Source organism: Homo sapiens, chromosome 7 (assembly GCF_000001405.40).
Source record: "Homo sapiens chromosome 7, GRCh38.p14 Primary Assembly".
Lineage (NCBI taxonomy): Eukaryota > Metazoa > Chordata > Mammalia > Primates > Hominidae > Homo > Homo sapiens.
Window position 1 is genome coordinate 95,253,022 of NC_000007.14, and position 23,547 is coordinate 95,276,568.

At 36.3% G+C, this 23,547-nt stretch overlaps 1 protein-coding gene across 44 annotated transcripts in view, besides 1 other annotated feature; it reads left to right on the plus strand.

Moving 5' to 3' along the window:
• The window catches only part of PPP1R9A (protein phosphatase 1 regulatory subunit 9A), a 389,180-nt gene that overhangs the window by 345,786 nt on the left and 19,847 nt on the right, over positions 1–23,547 (plus strand). For 25 of the 44 annotated variants that reach the window (XM_047420574.1, XM_047420585.1, XM_047420580.1 and 22 more), the window contains 4 exons: positions 15,529–15,686; positions 16,186–16,486; positions 20,878–20,965; positions 21,064–21,147. In XM_047420574.1, the coding sequence (XP_047276530.1) occupies positions 15,529–15,686; positions 16,186–16,486; positions 20,878–20,965; positions 21,064–21,147 (631 nt within the window). The remainder of the gene's footprint in view (positions 1–15,528; positions 15,687–16,185; positions 16,487–20,877; positions 20,966–21,063; positions 21,148–23,547) is intronic. The other 19 variants (XM_047420576.1, XM_047420583.1, XM_017012401.2 and 16 more) reach the window with 2 other exon arrangements.
• Positions 15,637–16,836: an enhancer, noted in NCBI's record as "CDK7 strongly-dependent group 2 enhancer chr7:94897970-94899169 (GRCh37/hg19 assembly coordinates)". NCBI's record gives its function as "activates an origin of replication core promoter dependent on BRD2, BRD4, P300/CBP, MED14 and CDK7 cofactors, with strong dependence on CDK7, by STARR-seq in HCT116 cells {active_cell/tissue: HCT116}" and the evidence as "EXISTENCE:reporter gene assay evidence [ECO:0000049][PMID:35650434]".

Genomic DNA, 23,547 nt, shown 5'->3' on the forward strand with positions numbered 1-23,547 from the left:
TTACACACACAACATTCTTAGATTGCACGTGTATGAACATGAATGACTGTTTTAATATCTGTGGTATATTTGCAAATTAGAAAACACATAATAATTATAAAGATAAATACACAGGAATGTGTGGCTTCATCTTTTTAAATATATACATAGTAGTCCCTGGAAAATGAAAATAAAAGAATGTGGTGCAGCAGGGTTGTCATGACAGGACCGACAACTCAGAGGCAACACTTTGACGTGCAGTAAAACCCTGTTATAATGGGCTTTTTAGTTTTTTCGTGATCTTTCTCACATATTAAACTGTCTCCAGTGAAGTTTTCCTGATAAGCAAGTGTTTATATCCTATCATGAACTTTTAGAACTAAGCTCTTAGCCATTAAAAATGGAAAGGATTAGAAATCTTCATTTAAAATTAAAATGATATCTAGAGATTTGAATCCATTCACTGGGTTTATATCCTTCTAATGGGTTTTCCCTAAATAGGATGTAATTTATAAATAGTGCCTCTTAGGCAGCTGAAAGAGGAGGATTTAGCATTAGCATTACGACTAAGTGAGGAGCTGTGTGACTTCAGGAAGAGTATTTAGCTTCTCTGGGTTGATATTACTGTGCATATTATTTTAAAAGTAGTATTTCCTTCTTCACCACTTTAAGGCCTGTTTTGAAACTATATGGTTTAGTCTTTGAAGCCAAAAAAGTAATTTATTTGAGCTCTTATGGAATTATAATTTTTATACCTGGAACACTATAAGATTGATATCTAAAGAAAAACATCAGGAATCAAACCAAATTTTTTACCTTTTTGAATATTTTAATTTTTAAAAAATTATAGTTTATATATAATAAATACATATTCCTGCTGTGGCATACTCAAAGTATGAGCAGTATCTAGTAGCTTTTCATTTCTATTCATTTCTTTCAGTTTAGAAATCTGTATCTTTTCAAACATATAATTAATGGTGTTTATTAAATTATATGACTACAGAAGATCAACACACTATACTATTAACATGCTGATTTGGATCAAAACCTTACATTTCATCTGAACCCTTTTTCTATTCTACACCCTCCATTTTGCCACATAATTATCAGTTTCCCTAGCAACACTGTTGGTTCACAGTGAGATGTGGAGACTACTAATTCTTACTGAAGCCAATCCATGCTTGTGCAGTAGAGGTAGAATCAGTCATCTCAGACATTAGTAGCATACATATCAAGTGCTCTTCCAGTTTTGCTGTGAGGACAGTCAGTGATAAATCTCTTTGAATTTCAGTTGCTTGATCACATAAACTAAAATGGCGTGGTCAGTAGCTAGATAGGAATGCTCTGGAAAGCACTTTTCTAAATTGATCCCTTGCTTCTGTTGCTAGGGAATGCTGAAATACTAGAGGTTTAGAAAGGAAAGTAAGGCTGCAGACCTAACATAGGCCATTCCACATTTAAAAATCCATCACCAACGTTTTGTACCAGGAGAGGTATAGCACTTCCAGTAGTTCCCAAAGTTCCTAGATGCAAGTGTTATCCTCCCGACCTTCTACTGACTGTCCAATTCTGATTTGCTTTTCAGGCACTGGAGTGGTAGGATGAGTGGTTTAGCATGTTTTTAGGCATTGAGGTAGCTCATGAAGCAAAAGAATGATCAAGTGTAGGTCAATGAAAATGGTCAGAATGAAATAGTAAAAGGAAGGGAAGGCAAGCTAAGGAGGAAGAAAGGAAGAGCCTCTGAGCAGCCGTTTCTTCATGTGTACTCATGCTCTTCCAAAATGATGTGACTCTTAATATTGAATTATAAATTTTTGAGGAGTAAAACCTTTTTCCAAACCATACAGAAATTTAGCACAAATTTAAAATTACGTTTGACCACCATTTGTATGTTTCTCACTAAAACCTAAGCCAACTCAAGTATTATTAAAATTTTGATAACAATCATCAGTACAAATTTGTTATTTAATATATTGTAACACTTTTATCTTATCATGATTACATAAAGCAGACGTAACAAATTTTTTTCCACCAAGAGCCATAACAGACCCCAAATCCATTCTAGTTTATATCAATGTGCTGGTCAAGTATTTTCCTTGTGTTCCAGGAAAGGAAAAATGATAATTATGCCCTGCTGCTATGTTTCATGCTTGTCATTTCTTAGTGCCTAAATAATGCCAGGATTAGGATAAAAACAGAGAATAGGTATGTTAGAGTGATCTTGGTAGGCTAAAAGCTTGTAATATTAGTTTTATTGGATTTCCTAGAAAAGTCACAGAAGCAATACATTCTGAGCTTCTAGATATTCCAGGATCCTTATGTTGATACCATTTGCTGCTTCAAATATTTTGAAGGCTGGTTTGCTAAAGGATTGTGCATATCCCATAGAGATACTGAAAGAAAGACTAGGGCCAGTAGGTGGAAGTTACCTATGAAGGCATATTTCTGACTATTCTACCGTGAGAGATCAGGAGTAAGTGTGATATCATTTAAAAAATTATTTTGAACACCGAAAACCTGCTTCCAGGCAGGCCTTAGGTGGTACACTGACTTGTAAGAGAAAGTGGCTACTAGGCAGAAAGAAAGTACTAGGTCCTGCCGATTATACTGCAAGGTATATGATTTGTGGGATCAAGAATGAAAGAGGAAAAGTTTGGTAGGAGACAAATAAATAGAATTTAAGGCACTATGTAAGCATCTCAAAAGATGAGAGGGAATTCAAAGAAGAGAAAATTGAATAACATTAGCATAATTTTTTTTCTGATTCATGGTCTTTATGTTGAAAAGGTAGAGCCATTTGAAATGACATAGTGTGTTCTTGGAGTAGAAGTGGGCTTTGACTGCAGAAGGGTTTGTACATAATCTTGTAAGCATTGTGACCCATTCACAGTTTTGAAGCATAACAGGAACTTAGTCACTTGTAGGTTTGTAAATGTGATTCAAGGATTTCTGTGAAATTTGAATATTGCTACCAAGTGCTGCTTCATTTCATTTTCACACCTACCTACTCAGTGAGTGGACCACCAGTTAGGTAATACTGCATGTTATCTTCCCAAAAGTGTGAACAAGGAGGGTTATATAAGGCATTTTATACTTTGTTCCCTTAGTTACTTACTGTTCCTTAGCTCTAATGAGAACTGAGCAAGAAAAAAATATACTCCAGCCTGAGTGATAGAGCAAGATCCTGTCTCAAAAAAAAAAAAAGTGACATTGAAAGCTATTAAATATCCTGTTAATATTAGCAACCTGAATCCAGAAATGTAATTAAAATATATATGACTAACTTGAGTCTATGTAAACAACACAAAATTGTTTTAACATTAGAAAACCTACTCATATAAAATCAACACATTAACTAGAGGAAAAATACATATAATTATTTCAATGAATGAAGACAAACATTTAATGAAGTTTAATACCTTTTCAAGTTTAAAAGTTTTATCAAACTAAAAATATGGAGGAACTTCCATAACTTGATATTGTGAGGCTAACAAAAGTCTCTGTCACACATTATATGAAGTGGAAAAATGTTATACTCCAAGAATTTCCTTTAAAATTAAGAATGCTTTTAATATTTCATCACTAAGTGTATTACTACTGCTTCTATTCAGTGTTGTCCTAGAGGTCCTAGTAAGTACTACCAGATAAGCAAAAGAAATCAAAAATTTAAGGAGTGAAAATAATCAAAATTTTCATTATTCACTCATAATAAAATTGAATACATTAAAAAACTCGAGTCTTCTGATTATTAGATGTTATAAGAATTAACAGGGTAGATGGATTTAAGAAGCATCAGACATCAATCATTTCCAACAAACAAAATGTAATTTTCTAAAATATGCCATAAAAATAGCAAAAACTATGTATAAGGTAGTCAGTGATGAATTTAACAAAAGATCTCAAGACCCATGGAAAGACATGAAAGAAGACTTACATAAATTGAAAGAGAAAGGAAGCCTCAATATTATAAAAATGCTTTTTATGCAAAATTAATCTATATATCCCATGCAGTTTTAATTAGAATTCAAACAAGGCTTTTAACTTCTTTAGAATTTGGTAAGTTGTTTCTAAAATATATATGGATGAATTGCTTGGCCCAGAATAGGGCCAAGGTGAATTGCTTGGCCCAGAATAGGGCCAGGTTCTCCTGAGGAAGAACAAGGTGAGGAACTTGTTCTTCTAGATACTGAGATTCATTATGAAGTAAAAGTGATTAAGACCACGTGATATAGTCCCAGCAATTGTCAAGTGGTCTAATATGCAGAATACAGAGTCCAGAAGCAGACTGACACATTTATGTCAGTTTGAGAATAATACAGAGCAGACACTGCAGTTCTGTGGGTAAAGGATGGACTAATAAATGGTGCTAGGAAAATTGACCATCCATATGGAAAAAATGAATTGGATTCTACCTCACATTATTCATGAAATAAGTTCCAAATGGATTACAGTCTCAAATTTGAAAGACGATACTTAACACTCTTAGAAGAAAATGTGGGATTTCATATGATTTCTTTTTTTTTTTATTATTATGCTTTAAGTTTTAGGGTACATGTGCACAATGTGCAGGTTTGTTACATATGTATACATGTGCCATGTTGGTGTGCTGCACCCATTAACTCGTCATTTAACATTAGGTATATCTCCTAATGCTATCCCTCCCTGCTCCCCCCACCCCACAACAGGCCCCTATGTGTGATGTTCCCCTTCCTGTGTCCATGTGTTCTCACTGTTCAATTCTCACCTATGAGTGAGAACATGCGGTGTTTGGTTTTTTGTCCTTGCCATAGTTTGCTGAGAATGATGGTTTCCAGCTTCATCCATGTCCCTGCAAAGGACATGAACTCATCATTTTTTATGGCTGCATAGTATTCCCTGGTGTATATGTGCCACATTTTCTTAATCCACTCTATCATTGTTGGACATTTGGGTTGGTTCCAAGTCTTTGCTATTGTGAATAGTGCTGCAATAAACATATGTGTGCATGTGTCTTAATAGCAGCATGATTTATAATCCTTTGGGTATATACCCAGTAATGGGATGGCTGGGTCAAATGGTATTTCTAGTTCTAGATCCCTGAGGAATCGCCACACTGACTTCCACAATGGTTGAACTAGTTTACAGTCCCACCAACAGTGTAAAAGTGTTCCTATTTCTCCACATCCTCTCCAGCACCTGTTGTTTCCTGACTTTTTAATGATCACCATTCTAACTGGTGTGAGATGGTACCTCATTGTGGTTTTGATTTGCATTTCTCTGATGGCCAGTGATGATGAGCATTTTTTCATGTGTCTTTTGGCTGCATAAATGTCTTCTTTTGAGAAGTGTCTGTTCATATCCTTCGCCCACTTTTTGATGAGGTTGTTTGTTTTTTTCTTGTAAATTTGTTTGAGTTCATTGTAGATTCTGGATATTAGCCCTTTGTCAGATGAGTAGATTGCAAAAATTTTCTTCCATTCTGTAGGTTGCCTGTTCACAAAAATTCCAAATCGTAAAAAGGTTGGATGAATTTGACCACAGTAATATTAAGAAAATCTGATCATTAAAAGACATTATAAAGTAAATGGAAAGAGAAACCGAAAGTTGAAGAGGGTATTTGTAGCACGTATAACTAAGAAAAAAATATTGTTGTCCACAATAAATTAAGAACTCACATAAATCATAAGAAAAACACAACCAACATAGTAGAAAAATGGGCAAAACGCATAAGAAGTTCACAAAAGCAGGAACCTAAACATTAGTAAACATAGACATTCAACTTCACTGGCAAAAATCAAACAATTGGCAAAGATAAAGTGTCACAGTAAAATGTGATAGCCAGCACATGGAAAAACAGGAAAATTCATAAAACTGTTTCATTAAAATAATTTGGCATTATCCATTAAAATAGAAGATGTGAAAATCCTATGGCCCGACAAATTTACTTCGATGTGTATATATATCCTCCAGAAACTCTTGTCAGTGTATACCAAAAGGCATATTCAAAAACATTCCATGTAGCATTGTTTGTATAGCTGCAGTAAAAAGTTAATTAATTTTAGTTACACCTTTCAACATAATGTTAAACAAACCAGCTAACTAAAAAACAATTTGCAGAATATTATATACAATTCACTACCACGCATCTGAAGTTTAAAAGCAAGAAAGACTAATCAATATATTCTTTAGGGATAAATTTATGGAATAACTAGAAGAAAATACAGGGGTTACAACTAGAAATAGAGAACAGAGAGGGCTTCAAAAGTAATAATTTTATAGTTTAGGCTTGATGGAGGTACATGGTTGTCTTTTTTTTTTTCTTTCTTCATATGAGTTACATATATGGTATACATTTTTATATAAATGTTTTAGACTAGAAACTTTAAAATAATTAAAAGGTAAGAATAAGAAAACCACAAAAGAGTTTTTAAGCTAAAAAATATATATTAGTTTAAGGTTTAGTAAGAAAATAAAAAAGGATAGCATCAGCCAGACATTTATATCCATAAGGGTGCTCCTAAGGTCATTGGACTCCTCCAAGAAATCATTTCCTTTGTCCTTTTTGCCTTTCTCTTGAGCCCTCAAAATCAGCAGCTCTTTTCAGATACCTGTGGGTTTGAGGCCAGGCCAGACCCCTACCACCATATCTGATTTATTTCCTGATAGAGTTTGAGAGTACATTAAGCATTCTCTTTTAGCATAGGAACCTAGAATTTTAAAATAAGGTTAAAGGCATGATTAAAGCCAGAATTTATTAGATGGAAAGTCATTAAAAGAAAAGTGAATGCTTGCACTGCATTATCAGGAGAGTCTCATACAAGAGCATTAGATACAGAGCAATGAGGTAATTATTTCATGCTGTCACACTGTTTAGTTCTAAATTGGAGCCTAGGGAATTCTAGAGTAGATTCAGCCTTTTTAAAAATATATATATATTTTTTGCATACAGATATAATGTAAACTTTCACAATTTTCATTTTTCCTGAAAACTTATTTTCAATTTTGTTTAATCCCCAATAAATAATTTTGACCATGAAATATTGAATTGCACTAATAATTAAAGGGTGAACATTCCTGGTAAATCACTATGGGAAATTTTAATGAACAAGCCAAGTGAATGAGAAATCAATATTTATTGATTATTTTCTGGTGTATCATTAAGGCCAAAATCTGTCCTCTTACTTAAAAAGCAAAGCACCTAAATTGCCTGTCTAGTTTTGTGCAAGTTTTGAATCTGACTACTTGTAAACTATTAAAACTTTTGTTGCCAAATCAGTGAGACATTCTAAAGGAGGTATTCAGTTGCAAATTGACAGCTCTGCTTCATTCATATTTCTCACTGCATCTTCATAAGTTCGTAGAATCCACCAGACCCTTCAGTCATACTGAGTTATAAAATAGTACTGGGAGATATCTAGGCCAGGCACGGTGGCTCATGCCTGTCTTCCCAGCACTTTGGGAGGCCAAGGCGGGTGGATCACCTGAGGTCAGGAGTTCAAGACCAGCCTGGCCAACATGGGGAAACCCTGTCTCTACTAAAAATACAAAAATTAGCTGGGCCTGGTGGTGGGCACCTGTAATCCCAGCTACTCGGGAGGCTGAGATGGGAGAATCACCTGAACCCGGGAGGCGGAGGTTGCAGTGAACCAAGATAGTGCCCCTACACTCCAGCCTGGGACAGAGCAAGACTCTGACTCAAAAAAAAAAAAAAAAAAGTTGCTTCAAGAGGAAACACAATGTTACTTTGTCAGAATGAGCTTTAACTTAGTAATTTTCTGTTCATTTTAGGAAAAGTGGGCTACTTTGTTTTGGCTTTTGAATTTTACTTGCTTTTAATAGAACAAGATACATTATGATCTTTTATAAGTAAAGATCATTTTAACCCAAATGTGAGTAATTTCTTTTCAAGGAAACTTCAGAAGACTACTGTATTCCAAATTATTTCTTATATTGATATATGGTCTGATTCACCATGATATATACATATTATGGTCTGGTTCACCTGGTTCACCATGAAATTCTAATTATAGATTAAATAATAACCATATAGCTATGCTAAGATAAAATTGACTAGGCTAGGATATCAGGGTAGAGGGATCTAAAAGTATGAAGGAGAAGATGCTACCCAGTGTGGTTTGTATATGAAGTGTTGCCCTGGGCTCCTACATTGTTTTCAAGGTGGGTCACAGTGTTCACGTAAGATATCTAATAGCCAAGAGGGAAACATGACCAGTCACAGAGGTTGAAGCATCTGTAAAGTTAAAACTGAACAGATGAACAGTTATTTAGTACCAGAAAATTCTGCTCTGTGTATGGTTCTGAAAATTGTGCCAACCATATTATTTCAGCAATTAGAGTATCAGGTCCATCAGGTTATGACTGAGTTCCTTTAAGTAGACATGAAATAATTCTGTTTTAATACTATACAGTAATCATGTCTAAGACCTATAAGGAATAAATCCACTTACAAGGAAACTAAAGAAACATTAGAACATAGGTATACCAAAAAACACTGTTGCTTGTGAGTTTTTGATGACACTAAGGGTTTTTTTTTGAACATTGAAAAGGTCATTCAGGTATTAATTTTTGGTTTTAAGTTAATGTTTGATTTACTCAAGTGACATTATCAAAAACCTAATTCTTTAAATCTTTTAATTTGTTGAAAGTCACTGTTGAGGGATTTTTATTATTTATTTACAAACTTTATTACAAACTATTTCCAAGCTTAACTAATGAAACACCTATAAAAATTTAACGATACATTTACAAATTTGATATATTCCATTTTCTATTAAAGTACTATTAAGTACTATTACTAGGAGACTGACAGTCTTTGCAAGTACTTAAAAAATTCTTATACATCTATTATATTACACTTCCAAGGATTGTGAACCTTCAGTTTTCTTACATTTTCTAATGCTTTACATAACAAAATCTTCCCATGATTGAAAGATGCTTTCCTTTTTAGGGAAATAACTATCATCTCAGGTAACTGAGTTTACTTTCTGTAAGAGGCCTACAATCTGAATTCTTCCTGTACTAATCAAGGATGCTATTGTATCACAATATGTAATGGGAGGGTGTCTACTTAGCATGCTTGGGGTTACCTAATATCCATAGATTTTGATTGAGAAACTGATTAGATTCTTGTAGGCAACCCTGAGTGAAAACACAGAATCTTGCTTATTGTTGCCATGTCAAAGACACTACAATATCAATGTCAAGAAAAAGACATTCACATATCCTAGCTCCCATGACCCAGCTTATCCACATGATGTCATAGTTCTACTCATAGATGCCTGCAGTCCCCAACTAGTTTGTCATTTGATTACATTTTTGTATTTCCCTGGCTTTTAGGTTATGCAGATCTCTTTTCCATCAGAATCTAAAGACATCTGACACTGAAAGAACCCTGAGATATTTAAATGCCTTTCCCTGTGGTCTAAATCTAAATTCCATATCCTTTCATAGTCTAGAATCAAGCAACTCTTACAAGTGTTTCAAATGATATTTGATAGCAGTTAGGACATTTCCTATAGTTTTTTCTGACTGGTAGTCACTGCCTTTCCAGGTAGTCTAGCGGTATTACTGAAGAGTTGTTTCTGAGATATGGATAACAGAATTTAAGCCTCTCTGTCCACTGAGAACAGGAGTGTAGGCTGATCATAAACTGAAGAAGGGTATATTAGATATCAGATTGCACCAGAGAAGCACTACACTAACAAATAACCAACTTACATTTTGAAGGCTATACAGATAGTTTTGAGATTGCATGTATTGACAAAAAAACTGAAAAAGGGATTTCTTAATATTCTTTCAATGATTAGCAAATTAAATGTATAGCTCATACAACAAAAGTTCAGACCTAGTTAGAAGATTAGAAAATAGCAATAATCTTCTGCTTGTTCTGGAACTGTTGAAAGATACCCTTCCTCCATAACCGTGTCTAATTCAGTACATCTTCCCCATACAATACTAAAATGAAGTAATAACTGAAAGCTAAGCCATAGACCTTAGGCCAAATTATCTGGCAGTTAGTAAGGTAGCAAGCCAGGCAGACAATCACCACAGATGTAATGAAAGAGCAGCCTTCTCTCATGGGGAAGACTGATAGTCATGCAGATTTTGACAAAGTTCCCTGGGCTTATATCAACATGTGGAGATACTGAGTCCTAGGACACCAGATCTAATTAAATTAAAATAGAATTAAGGTGCCTTTAAGAGAAAATATACTAAATATATGTTTTTCTCTATTTTTATTCATTTTAACTACGCAAGTAATACATAAATGTAAACAATTACATAATACAAAATATAATACCAAATTTTTAAACATTGCAAATAAGATTAAAGTACCCTTTGACCAACATCTCCTAATCTAATACCTTCTTTGTAAGTAAGCACTATATCAGTAGGAAGTATATCTTTCCAGTTTGTTGTTGTTGTTGCTGTTGTTGTTGTTGTTGTTGTTTTGAGACGGAGTCTTGCTCTGTCACCCATGCTGGAGTGCAGTGGCCCGATCTTGGCTCACTGCAACCTGCCTCCTGAGTTCAAGTGATTCACCTGCCTGAGTAGCTGGGATTACAGGTGCACGCCATCACACCTGGCTAATTTTTGTATTTTTAGTAGAGACAGGGTTTCACCATGTTGTTGAACTCCTGACCTCATGATCTGCCCACCTCGGCCTCCCAAAGTGCTGAGATTACAGGCATGGCATGAGCCACTGTACCCGGCCTCTTTCCAGTTTTTCTATGCAACTATATGCATATGTTTACCACTAGAAAATGTATTTTGTGTTAATGTTTTCTAAATATTTTAAATGAGTGTACATGTTATTCTGCAACTTGCTTTACCCACTTAACATCTTGCTAATCTCTTTATAAAGATATTTATTGAGTGCTTATTACATACCACTCTTCTAAGCACTTTTATATCTATTAATGCATATATAATCTTCATAGCAATACAGTTATTATGTTTTGTTATCATGACTGTTTTGCAATTGAGGATCCTGAGGGACAGAGGTTAGATAAATTGCCCAATTTAATGGGACAGCCGCTTGTTCTGAATTCTATTCAAGGAACAACTCCAGGTCTACTCTCATGGTAACTGTTTTACACTGCCTCTCTGAGATACATAAACTTACCTCCTGAAGGCAATTATCTATTAACCCAAACCCCAGTGGGCCCACCTTTTATGAACTTGCAGTGGCTGCAAATGATATGCAGATACTGTTCAAGTTTTAAAATGCCACCAAGTGCCTCATGATGCTCAGCACCTCCATTGGTAATAGCACAGGCGAGGCAGTGTGATGGCATGAAGTATGGCTGTTTCTGAGTGGGTTAGTGCACGTAACTGCGGAGCAGACCCCATTGTTATGCTGCTCCATTCCCCTAGTTCCCTCGCTGCCTGTATCTGATCTGTGGGCAGCATTCCACTTACGTCAAAAATAACGTCAATCTAGTGAAAAAAACTGTATGACTCACAGTATTACTGTAGGGAACTGGTCTCTGTGTAATATGATATATAGCATCCTAATTTCTTAGAGCATTTTTCATAACAGCTGCTAAAATCATCAAATCCATTAAATTCTTTTAAAGGATCCAATTTGTAGCAGTATTGAAAATAGTCTTAAAATGCAGGTATAGAGGTGGAGTCTCTCTCACTCAAAACTGCTCTGTCATTAGCTACTTCATATCTTCTGTGTATTTATCTGTCTGTATTTATTGATTCACCTCAGTCTTCTCCTGTTCTGTATTTCTAGCTGCATTGCGTCAGAGGTAGGCTATTTCAGAGACTGGAGGGTCTGAGAAAAATGGAAGATAAGAAAGCAGAGGAGGAAAAGGAAATTTTCCGCTGACCCTTATGGACAACAGAACAAGGCACACTGGAGAAACGAGGAAAAGAAAGAACTGAGGTCTTGGGCTTATGAAAGCAGTGTAATATTATTGACTAAAATATCTGTAGAGAACGAATGACAGTGAGAGAAATGGCCACTTAAGCCTTTACATCTAGCAGCACATAACTTAGAAACACTGAGCCAGTTGGATTTCCCCTGCCACACTGCCATCCACAAAACTGACAGCTATTTTTCTTTGTAAGAATTTTATTCTTGGATATATGTAAAGCCAAAAAAAATCCCTCAGTGTTGGGGGTTTTTGTTTCCTCTGATGCTATATGCTTCTGCAAGTTTGCAAAGTTAGCCCTTGACATGTGCTTTTGTTGGGAACATAAAGTAAGACCAAAAAGAGGACTCAAAGAAGGCAGAAGAATGTGAAGTTTACTTCCAGACTTGAGATTGACCTTCCAGAAGGAGAATAGGCTTCTGAAGCCTGAGCTCTATTCACTCTCTGTCACAGATTAACTGTGTGGTGCAAGTTAATACACAAATTGACCTTCTTTAAGCCTCAGTTTTCTTATATGAGAAATAAGCTGGGACCAGAATCCCAAGGTTATTTTGAGTTGTAATATTAGGATTTTTGTATTACATGATGGAAAAAGATAGCATGTGATGGTCAGTCACCCTTCTAGTTACCCAGCAGCATAAATCTTATACACATTTTCCTTCCGTGTACACACGTGTCCTCTAATACTGTTAAGGGAGACATATTGCATGTAGTGTCTTTGGTAGGTGCTTCTTGTGGACAGTATTCCTTCCAGCTTCCTTCTGGTGTAAATGCTATTAAGGCGAAAGTTTTCAACTTCATCCTATTTTTCTGGTTCTTTTAAAAAATTATTTTTAGAATGGAATATAAATTACTGATTTGTAATCCATGAATCACTGCAATAAAGTAGCTCTGTGATATTTGCTTTCAGACCTTCAAAAATTGTTAACTGCATACAATGTGTTGTTGGCTACTTAGGTACCGGATATAAGGCACAACTTTTTAGATTCCAGCTAACAGCATCATAAATAGATATAATTTTATGTGTGTGCTCAAGCAGTTTGCACCTAGTCAGCTAATGTTAAAGCAGATACACCAGATTGCCATTTTTGGGTTGTCTGACACAAGCACCAGGCAAATTATTGAATAGTAATAGAGCAAGGAGTCCCAGAGTAAATTTTCTGCACTATTAAAACCTGCTAATAAGTAGTTCTGATTTTCTCTCACTTATATTTGTTCAGCTTCCATTGATGGAGTACCTATTGTAGTCCTGGATATTGGGTTCCATACCAGATCCTCAGGGCCAGCATTCTACTGCAAAAGGAACCATGTTTACAAAAGTGGAGTGAGATTCTTCCTTGGGTCTTTTTGTCACTTAGTAGCCAAAGCTGTTATTAAACCAACCAGACCAAAATAAAAAATCATCCAGGAAGTAATTTATTCTATACTTTTCAACATGTCATCCTTTTTTTTTATCATGTTATCTAACATATAGGGAAGATTAATTATAATATTTTAGATGGAGCCTATTGGAGAAATGAGTTTCCTAGACTAGTCACGTCATATATGATTTTATAACCCAAAACACCAAACTCTAATGGCATTAAAATCTTGCAATGGGAGGTTTATCAACACTAGCTAAATCATAGTGGATAGCCTAGTAGCCTGGAAATCAAGACACTAGAGTAATCATGGTAGCGCATTAATTAGTTATGTAAATGAGGGCATGCTACTCAAGTTCTCTGAGCTTCAGGAGAGAAAAAAAATACTTGATTGGTACCTCATGGGGCTGTTGTAAGGAACAAATGAGATAGAGTATGTGGCATGATTTGTATTATAGAGCATACAATCCAAATATGAGCTAGATAAGGCATAAAACGTGCAAGTACTACATACAGTGTTTCTAATTATATTACAGCTTTCATCTACGTGGTGTTCCACATTTTATATTTAAGCAAGAGCTTATAAGATTGACTCTCTCCCAGTTATCACAACTAATGAACTCTTAATGGGCAGCTACAAATATAGATTTTATCGGAAGGAGGAAATTAAAGTGATCAAGGAATTATTTTTTCTCCCCTGACATGTAAAAAGTAAAGAGACTGCTAATTAGAAAATATTTAGCTGTTCTTTATAAGTACCTGAATGGTCTGAATTTTCTGAGTATTCATTCTTCATTCAGATATAGGAAATGAAAAGTCAAAACCTTCTCTAAATATTGTCATTCAATGGATGTATCTCCTGGGCAAAAATGTAGTTAATTTTGTTTGTTAGAGCCATATACTAAGTGCTAGGTTTCATAGACAAGAGGCACAAACTGAGGTGCTTCCTTGCTTTGGTTTTGTAGTATAGCATATTTAGAGCACATCTAGAATAATGCTGTAAAAAGGAATTGCCTGAGCTAATAATATTATAAGAAATTGTTTATTCTGTTAATACAAGTACATAATTTTCTGCAACTCAGTTATTTGCACTCAATTATTAACTCCTTGAACATGACTTCAGCTAATGACTGCCACTCTGAAGAGATAAAATAGGATTAATGATCAAACTCCTTTATTTCTAAGGAGTGATTACATATGCAAATGAAAGGAGTAGTAGCATTTCAAATAAGTTCCACCAGAGAGTACTTTTCCTTAACCAATATCCAGGTATGTTAATGGGTACCTTTCCTTTAGAATGTTAACTTCGGGGTCCTAACTTAAAATCTAGGTAGCAAAATTAAAGGTGGTAAGAGCCAGGCTAAAGAGGACTAATTGAATTCTCTCTGTGGCCTTTGCTGTTAATAGTTCATTTTCTTTGTGTCCCACTTTACTCTCTTTTTCTTTTAGCCTTTTTATTTAAAGACTTAAGTATTTACCCTTCGAAAATCAGTGTCGTTTCTGGTGGGGAGAGAAGGTATTCACAGAGATGAGTCAGAGGCACATACAAATAACTTGTAATACAAAGTTAGATGTTAATGAAAGAAAAGGAAATGTTTATCCTACCTCATCCACAATACTAGTAAACTAAGTACTTACGATTTTTTAACTGTTTGTTTCTTCATTTGTGTAGCCAGACCTTGTTTCTTTTCCCCAGCTATCGTCAATTTGCTGATTAGGTAAATTCCTCACTGGTCTTTCTACAGGTTTCAAAAAGGAACAAGGTAGATTTTCAGAAACTGTTTTGGGTTGAAAATTATATATTAAAATGAAAATGATATAGTACCTGAAGACTGCTAGTAAATTTTGCTACAGTAAATTTATGATAGTTACCTTCTGTTGCCTGTAGTTGAACTGGAAACCTGACTTTGTAGGTTTTTTGTCCTTGGTTTCTAAGATCTGTCAACTTTTGATATACCCTCCTCTATATCTTTGGTCATCTAACTTCCCAACATGCATACACATAAATAGTAAATACAAATTAGTGATTTTTATAATTATATTGCAGGAAGGTTGTATGCTTTTCGGATGTTGGATTTTTATAGCGCCTTCATCATCTTTAGTGTTGGTTTCTTCCTTTGACTTTGTATATTTCTCCTAAGCCCCACTGATTTCTTGGTTATTTCTTGGTTACAGGCTGTCATGGTGGTCACCTGATCCTTACCTGATGTTACTGGTTACCTTGAGATTTTATCAGTGTCTGTGGTCTCTTCATCAGTTCTCTCCAAAGGTTTCTCTCACTGATTATCTTTCAATATTCTTAGACTTGAATGAAGCAGTCCCAGAGACAGAGCGCCTGGATTCAAAAGCACTGAAAACTCGAGCCCAGCTCTCTGTGAAGAACAGACGCCAGAGACCCTCTAGGACAAGACTGTATGATAGTGTTAGTTCCACAGATGGGGAGGACAGTCTAGAGAGAAAGGTGAGCACCCTTGACCGTTTCCTGATTTGTACTGTTGGAGTATATCATTGTTCCTACAGCTTATTGAAGATTATGATTTTTCTGCAAACAGAGTCTATGTCCTAGTTGGTAAGCAGCTAGAATAGTTCACGTCTTTGTCTCCTGAATTCTTTATATTGTTGTAATTCAAAATATTTTGTCTATTCATTCAGTGAACTAACCAAGAGCATTATCTGTATTGTCATATTTCATGATGGTGCTTTTGATATTCAGCTATTGGTTTTACTTAGTGGGAAATAATGAACGTACAAGTAATTGTTTCTGTAGGTCTTAGGTATATGTATTAGTGACGATGTTAATATGGTGAATTGGTATGAACCATGCATTCTCATCTGTAAATCAACAAAAACTGGTTTTCATGGGGATTCACTAATAAAAGGTTGGTCTTATTTCAAAGTAAGTATTGCATAGAACTGATACTCAGTGGCATAACCTTCCTTATAATCTCTTATACCAACAGCCATCAAACAGTTTCTATAACCACATGCATATTACCAAATTACTTCCACCTAAGGGTTTGAGAACGTCTTCTCCAGAATCAGATTCTGGTGTTCCACCCCTCACCCCGGTGGATAGCAATGTGCCCTTCTCGTCTGACCACATAGCTGAATTTCAAGAAGAACCACTGGACCCAGAAATGGGGCCTCTCTCCTCTATGTGGGGAGACACTTCACTGTTTTCTACTTCAAAGTCTGATCATGATGTGGAAGAATCTCCTTGCCATCACCAAACCACCAACAAGAAAATATTACGAGAAAAAGGTATTGTTAATTTCTTTTTCTGACTTCATAACACCTCAGCTTGTACAGTATAAAAATGACTTTTTCTCATAATCATAAGTCATTTGTTTTCTCATAGCTAATAATTAATATTAATTTCTTTTTATATTATAGAATAAGAGAAACAACCCCTCCATGTATTTTACTTTAATTTAGTTTTATCTTTTCCTATCTGGTTCAGTATTTTTATCTCTTCAGCTCTCTATAAGTTTACTACTCAAGGGAGTTCTTCAGGGGAGTGGGGCAGCCCAGAGTTTCAACAAACACTAACACAGTCATAAAGAAAAAAACACTACATAGTCATATAGAAAAATATAGAGCGATTTTGTAGAATAGCAGCCCAGAGTTTCAGTAAACACTAACGTAGTCATATAGGAAAAAAAGACGAAGATCAAAGTAACACAGGCATATAATTGATACTTAATAATGTTCTTGGATGAATTGCTAATATACCTCTCCACGTAACCAGTGCAGATCTTCTAGAAGAGGGATAATCAACCGAATGTAGTCTCCACCTGCTTTTGTAAATGAAGTCTTATGGGAGTACAGTCACACTTTTTTACTTACATACTATCTATTTTCATGCTACAGTAGCAGTGTTGAGTCGTTGTGACAGAGACTGTGTATCTCACAAACCTAAAATATTTTACTCTGTGGCCCCTGAAAGGTAAAGAAAGCTTCCTGATGCCTGGTCTAGAAGTATATTTTCTTATACTCAAAATTGCTGGATAAACTCTGAAAATGGCTTCATCATTGGTTGCCATTTATCTAGAATTTTTAAAAAGTGTTATACCTTTACTTTTGGTCTATCAAGTTACCACAAAGATGATTAATTACAGCCATGTTTGATTGCAGGCTTGAGGATAAGGCTCTGGTTACCCTAACAGGAGTTGGCGATTTTCTGAATTGTGTCAATACCACATTTACAAATCATTTTTTTTCATATCTGAGGGACATCAGTGGAAATTAGGATGGAGAAGTCCCATTATAACTGGCTAAATGATAAGCATCTAACGGAATATCAAATTAGAGGAAGTAAAAGATTTTTTTCTAGAGATTTGTAAAACAGGTTATATGCCAGTAGAAGGCATGAAAATATTTTCCTCGTTCCTGTTATATAAACAACCTAATACTAAAGTTTTGGTCCCGAGGCTTACATAGCACTGGGCCTTTGTTCAGTCAAGATTAAATAAAGTAAATTGAACACTATCAATTTTCTACTCACAATTACTAGAGATTATTATTCTAATTTTTTGTGTGGTTAATAACACATTATTTGACCCAGAAGATGTGTTCAAAAATATTCATTGAATTAATGTCTAGTAAATAGAAACTGGCTTTTTTAAAGCTTTACAGGATTTATTGCTTATTAAAAGCATTGGGCCTCTGCAAGTATAGATAGAGTACAATTATATCAACGCTCAGAAGAGAGAGAGATTGCGTCCAGCTGAGGTTGGTAAACAAAACCTATCCAAGGAAGTACAATTAGAATAGCCATCAAAGCACTTAAGGGAAAAAAAGGGTAGGTAAGGAGGGAATAGCGGGTAAAGTGATGTCATTAACAGAGACAGGCACATATCATATGATTTAAAGGTACAAGGCTATCCCAGCCTGGCTGTAGCAGTTTGCTTATGCAGGGTGGAGTAGTTACACACAAAAGTGAGCCAGTAGGTTAAGTATATAGCTTTAGAAGTTAAACATCTTAGATAACTTGCCATATTACTAGGAAACCACAAGAAGTTTGACCAGAGGAATAAAAAGGAAAAGACACCACCAGGTATGGAGAAGCTGAGTTAGGAGACCCTATGAGGTGGTGCCCTCTAAAGAGGAGCAGTAGACAGTGACAGGAAAGAATGATTCAAGGACCCTTGAGACATACCTTGACTAGGTAACAGGTAAGAAAGTGAGGCAAAACTATCATGGGCTTCACGCCTCAGAACATATGGTCTTGTCATTAACAGAAAATAGGAAATCAGCAACATGATGGGGGAAATAGGATTAACTCATTTTTTTAACAGAGGAGGTCATGAGCGCAAGAGAGAGGTCAGGACTGCCAGGTAGATTTGGGAGTCCCCATTATAAAGGAAGAGATAGTCAAGTATCTTATTACAGTGAGATTAAGGAGATGCAGTCCAGTACAAGACCTTAGGATTTGGCCATCAGGAGATCATTTATTATTTGAAAATGAAAACCAGGTTGCCACAGCTTAAAGTTGAGGCACCCAATCTGGGGGCTCAGATGTATAATTGGTCACAAAGGTAGTATTGGAGAGATTTTAAAAAGCCTAACAGAAGTCTTACGTAGAGCTAAATAAACAAAATGTATGTTTCTTTTTTCCTGAAATCATACCAATCTAATGTTGGATTTTATGCAGACTAGAAGTTCTAGTGTGCATTAAAGATGGATTTAATCGATTTTAAATGGGAAAGTACATTATTCCTTATTCTTAACATCTTCAGCCCTATGGAAGCATTCATTTCAGTGTTCCTGGGAACGCACTTTGGCAAATGTGTGAGATAAAGATGTAAGGTTGCCTAGCACCAAGCTCTGTGATAGGCAGAATCAGGCTTTTAGTCGCATGATGTCCAAATAACTGCAACACTCATGGGTTACAGAGTGTTTTCGTGTACATTGCCTCAGCTGGTCTTCTCAGCGCTCATTGTAACATCTCCCAGCTACCTCTCATTCAGGAAATAATTAGGCAGTCTCCTTTTAACTTTGCATAGTCCTAGCCATTAAGAGTTGCTTTAGGATTGATCTGGAAGAATTTGGCACTTTCTTTTCTTCAGCTTCTATTAAGAAAATTTAAATCTTGCTTTTAAAAATAAAATCCATTAGTAAAATCACCTTAGAAGGTGTTTGTGCCATGTCTATGTCTATGGATTTTTTTATATGATTGTGTCACATCTGTGACAATTCAGTTACCCAAAGAGTAATGATGCAAATATGCATAATAAATATTTGAGGCTTGAAGTGGATTTTTGACACAGACATATTTCTGACTCTTGTGTTTCATTATGTACATTTCAGTGAGTTGCTTATTGTAATCTAAGTATCATTAACTAAAAATATGAAAAGCTCATTGCTAAAAACATTTGGAGTATTTGTCAGTGTCCTGTGCTGCTTGAGAGCTTTGAACCTAGACTGCTATCCATGAACTGTGTGTGTACTTCATGTTTTTTAAAGGTGTATGTCGATGTGTGTTGAGAAATTTCTCTTGAAGTAAACAAAAATCATGAGCAACATTAACCTGCAAAGTTAATTGAACACTTTTTTAAGAGGGCCATTCTCTTTGCCTTCCATACTAGAAAGTTCCTAGAAATTTAAAACACATTTTAAAAGATAAGAGACAGAAAAACAGATACCAAAAAAGAACTGGGGAGGAAGAGTTTCACACATAAAAAACATCAAATTTAAAACAGCATTTGTTAATCATCTGAGCTAATTGGATATGCTGAAACGTGATGCCGATCAGTACCCTCTGCTGAATAGTTTGGGTAGAGCCTGTCCGAGATGGAACAAGTGCCACCAGTGGAATTGGTTCCCACCTTGACATTGAACTCCATTTGCAAAGCCTGTCTTCCTATTGGCTTTTGGTATCATTTCGAGGGTCCCCATTCCCCAGCAGCTGCTACCTTTGAGAGTCCTAGAGGCAAAGATCAGTCTGCTCTGAACACTGAGGAGATTTTGGCATCTTCCACATTAAGGGGAACCAGCCAAGTTTTGCTGTAACCTAACTATTAAGAAGGCCCTTTCAAAGATATAAATGTTTTGTAGCTGAGCCCCTGTTTAAGGAGTCTCCCCCATGTCCTCCCCTCCTCTGTTCCAGGACCGGCCACAGGCCATTAGCAAAGGAGAGCCAGAGAAGAAAACTTTGACTCTGACTTTCCCCCTAAATCTCCCAGACTCTCAGAGGTGATATTCTGCGCTGGGCTTTGGAGATACGGGAGAAGTGGGCTATGTTCCTGTTAGAAGGCACTACAACCCCAAGGCAAGAAAGGAATGGAGGACAGAGCCCAGGCACTTGAAGCCAAGAATTTGGAGCCAGAGAAGGAACAAAAGTCATGTTGGTCCCTACTTCGAATGCAGAGGATGATTTGAGAGTATTTATTCTCCCTTGTTCATTCCCATGCAGTTGAAGCTAAAACTCTTTGTGATGAATGTTGAGCCTCTGTCCTATAGAGGACCTCCCCTGCTTAACTGCGAGTTCCTCAATGTAACTGTGTCTCCTAGGTCGTATAAGAAGGCATTGATTATTTATTTTACAATTAGGAATTTAGGCAAAGCCCTTAGATTCAGAGATGCATTGACTTTTGAATTGTGACTTTAAAAATAATAATAATTGATCTTTTTCACAAATGTGTATATCCTAGATGATGCCAAAGATCCCAAATCACTAAGGGCATCCAGTTCATTGGCGGTGCAAGGAGGAAAAATTAAGCGGAAGTTTGTGGATCTGGGGTAAGCACTTCACGATGTAAAAAGAAAGCCCTCTGTAAAAGGAGGATTGAAAGAGAAAATTTCAGCTTCCCCTTTCTGACTGCTTACTATCATTACAGGGCGCCTTTGCGAAGGAATTCCAGCAAGGGAAAGAAGTGGAAAGAAAAAGAAAAAGAAGCCAGTAGGTTTTCTGCAGGTAGCAGGTACGGTTGTGTGATTAAGAACACGTGTATTTCTATACCTAAACTTTCTGGCCCCCTCTTCTATTGTTAACCAAAATCAGTGGTCAGTATCTTTGAGCTAAAGTGATATGCCAAGAATTGAGATGGAAGAAAAATTGCACAATTAGTTTATATTGGTCTTACTCCAATTATAGCCTCCATCTAGCCTTGGGCATATCCATTGGTTCTTAATTGCAGAATTATGGCCACATGAACCATTTCAATAAGTGTTTATCTAAATTCAGCACAAATATATCTATGTGATACTTCAGAAATATCAAATATATTTATGTGATACTTCAGATTTTTTGCCTGGCTACCCACAATGCTAGTGCATTGTATTAAGTCTAAAAGGATAATCATTTTGCATTTAAGTACCTTGTTGACATTCAAGATTGTCTTGTCCACATGTATGTAGGAGTGACCACCATCTTTTGCTGCACTTGGCTATTTAATTGATTTTGTGGGCACTGTCAACTATGCTTAGTCTTCAGTAAAGACCTTCCCATAAAGAGCGAGCTTTGAACAGCATGTTATCAAATTTTCCCAGTTGTTTTCTGAGATTATATAATTTTAAGCTGAGATTTGTATAGGGAGTCAGTAAAGCATCAAGCTCTGAAGCCCAGCTGCCTGGATTTGAATCATGGCTCTCCTACTTATAACTTTTAAATCTTGGGCAAGTGAGTTACCCTCTGTGCCTTCATTTCCTCATGTAAAATGAGAGTAATAACAGTACCTTTTACATAAGGTCAGTGTAAGGATTCAATGAGTTTTCATGTAAAACATTTAAAATGATACTTGGCATGTAGGAGGTATTCAAAGAATAATAAAGATAACAATTTGCTGCTATTGCCATTACTGTTACCTTATTATTATTTGCAAGTTACAAAGTAGTTTTATATTTATCATTTCATTTGATCCTTATAGGATTGAGAGGATGGCAAGGCTTGGTGGCCCACACCTGTAATCCCAGCACTTTGGGAGGCCAAGGCGGGTGGATCACCTGAGGTCAGGAGTTTGAGACCAGCCCGGCCAACATGGCGAAACCCCGTCTCTACCAAAAATACAAAAATTAGCCAGGCGTGGTGGCGCACACCTGTAATCCCAGCTACTCGGGAGGCTGAGGCAGGAGAATTGCTTGAACCCGGGAGGCGGAGGTTTGAGTGAGCCAAGATCGCACCACTGCACTCCTGGGCGATAGAGCGAGACTCCGTCTCAAAAAAAAAAAAAAAAAAAGATTGGGAGAGTAGATAATAATACCATACTTTATTGATGAAGAACTTTACCTTCATAGAATTTAATTGATTTGCCCAGGGTTATGCAGCAGGCAGTTAATGTCAACCTGGGGCTTGCTCCTCCTGTGTAGATGTTTTTCCAACATACTATGCCACCTTCAGTTACTTATGCATCTAATGATGCTTAAATTTCTTTATAAAATTTGGAAATAATCTCAATATCATAGACTAAGGAAGAAACACACTAAAAATAAAATACTATAAAATCATGCAAGGACCACTTCTCCACTTCATGGGTTGTCCACTGCTGTTTACTTTTCTTTTTTCTCTTTTCTGACATATACCTTGGTGAGAAATTGTACCTTCTTCTTGGAATTAAAGGAGCATTAAAGGAGCATAATGGGCGGGAGATGAGGAGAGAGAATTCCCAAATTAATTATCTTTGTTAGTGTGGCTTTCCTTTATACTGTACATTGGAAAAGGGTAGAATGCTCTCAGAATGAGGACAACAATCTCAGGAAAATAAAGGTAAATCTGAGGCTATATGCATCTCGAAAGTAGTTTAACTTTGTGTGGTTCGGGAGTGAGAATGATCCACTTTGTGTGTTAAAATTAAGAATAGAAAAATAAAATCAAACATACTCATGGAAAAAAACAAATAATGAAACCGTTTAGGGGAGAAAGAGATGCATAAATACATGATGGGAGAGAAACTCAGATACTGAAAATGACACTGTCCTTCCTTTGGTCTCTGGGCTTTGAAGACAGTCACTCCCTCTCATCTTTGAGGCACCACCTGAGAGGGATGTGAGCACCTGCAGCCAGAAAGGGGGAGGGTGTTTGATGGAATTTTGCCATAGTAGCCAGAGATGATTCACCTCCTTGTATAAATCACAAATGAAAGTCAAGCCAATCTTGATTGTGTTGGTGAGTGCCTGCCCACCTCACTATAGGCAAAACCACAGCTTGTCAAGGGCAGGTGGCCATCAGCACACTGCTTCACCACAGTCGATGCCTGCTTTGAACCCACAGCTAGACTTCTAGATTGGCTGCCTCGCCACCACTGTATTTTTAAAACTCTGGAGTCCCCCTGATTCAGCAGTCAGAAATTATTGTACACATACCCACACTACAAACTAGTTTCTAA